The sequence below is a fragment of the Homo sapiens genome, chromosome 17 (genome assembly GCF_000001405.40).
Source record: "Homo sapiens chromosome 17, GRCh38.p14 Primary Assembly".
NCBI lineage: Eukaryota > Metazoa > Chordata > Mammalia > Primates > Hominidae > Homo > Homo sapiens.
This window is the reverse complement of record NC_000017.11, coordinates 59,415,760-59,417,754: the sequence shown is the minus strand read 5'-3', so window position 1 is coordinate 59,417,754 and position 1,995 is coordinate 59,415,760. Positions and strand designations below refer to the sequence as shown.

At 46.8% G+C, this 1,995-nt stretch overlaps 1 annotated feature.

Annotated features, from left to right (window-relative positions):
• Positions 1,361-1,410: a silencer, noted in NCBI's record as "silent region_8779". NCBI's record gives its function as "represses an Ori minimal core promoter by ATAC-STARR-seq in GM12878 lymphoblastoid cells {active_cell/tissue: GM12878}" and the evidence as "EXISTENCE:reporter gene assay evidence [ECO:0000049][PMID:35858748]".

The following is a 1,995-nucleotide window of genomic DNA, read 5'->3' as shown; positions in this document are numbered from 1 at the left end:
CAAGAGCAAAACTCCATCTCAAAACAAACGAACAAACAAAACGAAAAACAAAAAAACGTATTTATGGAGCACCTACTATGTACCACGTACTATTCAAGGCATGTGGGATATACAGGCAACGAGACAAGGTCTTATTCCTTGTGGAAACCACTTACACGTAGAGATAAAGTAAGAAAAAAAAGAGACGAAGAGAAAGAAAAAGGAAAGGGCTGGGTGCAGTGGCTCATTCCTGTAATCCCAGAACTTTCGAAGGCCGAGGTGGGCAGATCACTTAAGTGTAGACACTCGAGACCAGGCTGGGCAACATAGATGAGAACCTGTCTCTATAAGAAATACAAAAATTAGCCGAGTGAGGTGGTGCACACCTGTAGTCCCAGGTACTAGGGAGGCTGAGATGGGAGGATCACCTGAGCCCAGGAGGTTGAGGCTGCAGTGAGCCAGGATTGTACCACGGCACTCTAGCCTGGGTAAAAGAGTGAGACCCTGTCTGAAAAAAAAAAAAAAAAAGGAAGAAAGGAAGGAAATGGTGATAAGTGATATGAAGAAAATAAAACAAGGTAATAGATAAAGAGTGACTGGAGGAGGAAGGGGTGAGGTGGGGCTAGAAAGGGCCAACATTTGAGCAGAGACCTGGTGGGTAAGAAAGAGCCAGGTATGAGAGAACCCAAGGAAAAACCATCCTAAGCGAGGAGTGCCGAGATCAGCTCGGTCAGGGAGACCCTAACCCAGCTGCGCTAGAGGAATTAAAGACACACACACAGAAATATAGAGGTGTGAAGTGGGAAATCAGCGGTCTCACAGCCTTCAGAGCTGAGAGCCCCAACAGAGATTTACCCACGTATTCATTAACAGCAAGCCAGTCATTAGCATTGTTTCTATAGATATTCGATTAACTAAAAGTATCCCTTATGGGAAACGAAGGGATGGGCCAGAATAAAGGAATAGGTTGGGCTAGTTACCTGCAGCAGGAGCATGTCCTTAAGGCACAGATCGCTCATGCTATTGCTTGTGGCTTAAGAATGCCTTTAAGCGGTTTTCCGCCCTGGGCAGGCCCGATGTTCCTTGCCCTCATTCCGGTAAACCCACAACCTTCCAGCGTGGGCATTGTGGCCATCATGAACATGTCACAGTGCTGCAGAGATTCTGTTTATGGGCAATTTGGGGGCCAGTTTATGGCCAGATTTTGGGGGGCTTGTTCCCAACAAGGAGACCTCAGTACAAAGTCCCTGAGCAGAAACAAGCTTGATGTGTTCAAGGCACAGAAAGAATGTCCAGGTGCTTGTGGTCACGAGGCTGCGAGTGACAGACAGAATATGTAGGACCTTGAAGATTCTGAGTTTCATTCTGATTGCAGAGGAGCAGCAAGGTCTGCTTTATACCTTGAAAAGCTCACTGTGGCTATTCTTGGAAATGTACTATAAGGGGCATAAGTGGAAGTGAAGAGACCAGATAAGGAGGTTATTGCCGGAGTTCAGGCAAGACATGGTGGCTTGAATCAGATTGTAGCATTGGAGATGATGAAAACCCGTCAGATTTGAGACCTCTTTTGGGGGCAGAGCTAACAGGACTTGCCTAGGGGTTAGATATGGGTGAGGCGTATTGACAGAGAGGAATCAAAGCTGACTCCTGGATTTTGAACCTAGTAAACTGGGAGGATGGTGATGCTTAAATTAGATGGGATTGTTGGGAGAGATTACTTATTCCATGTCTTCCTCCTCCTCTAGAGAAGCTGGAGCTATTCAGAAGCATCATTCGTTACTTCCATAGCTAAAAAGTACAACAAATCTTAGTCGTGGCCCATGAGGATCAGCTCACAATGTTCTTAGTACTGCAGCCTTCTCCAGGAGTCTGCCCTCAACCTAGTGCACATCCACGCGATGACCCAGGCCAGGAACTTGGGACCCAGGCTACAGCCCTCCCTTCCTCTCACTAAAGGATAAAAACAGAAAAGTAGCTGAGCACTTCCGGTGTCAGACACTGTGCTAAGCACACGGA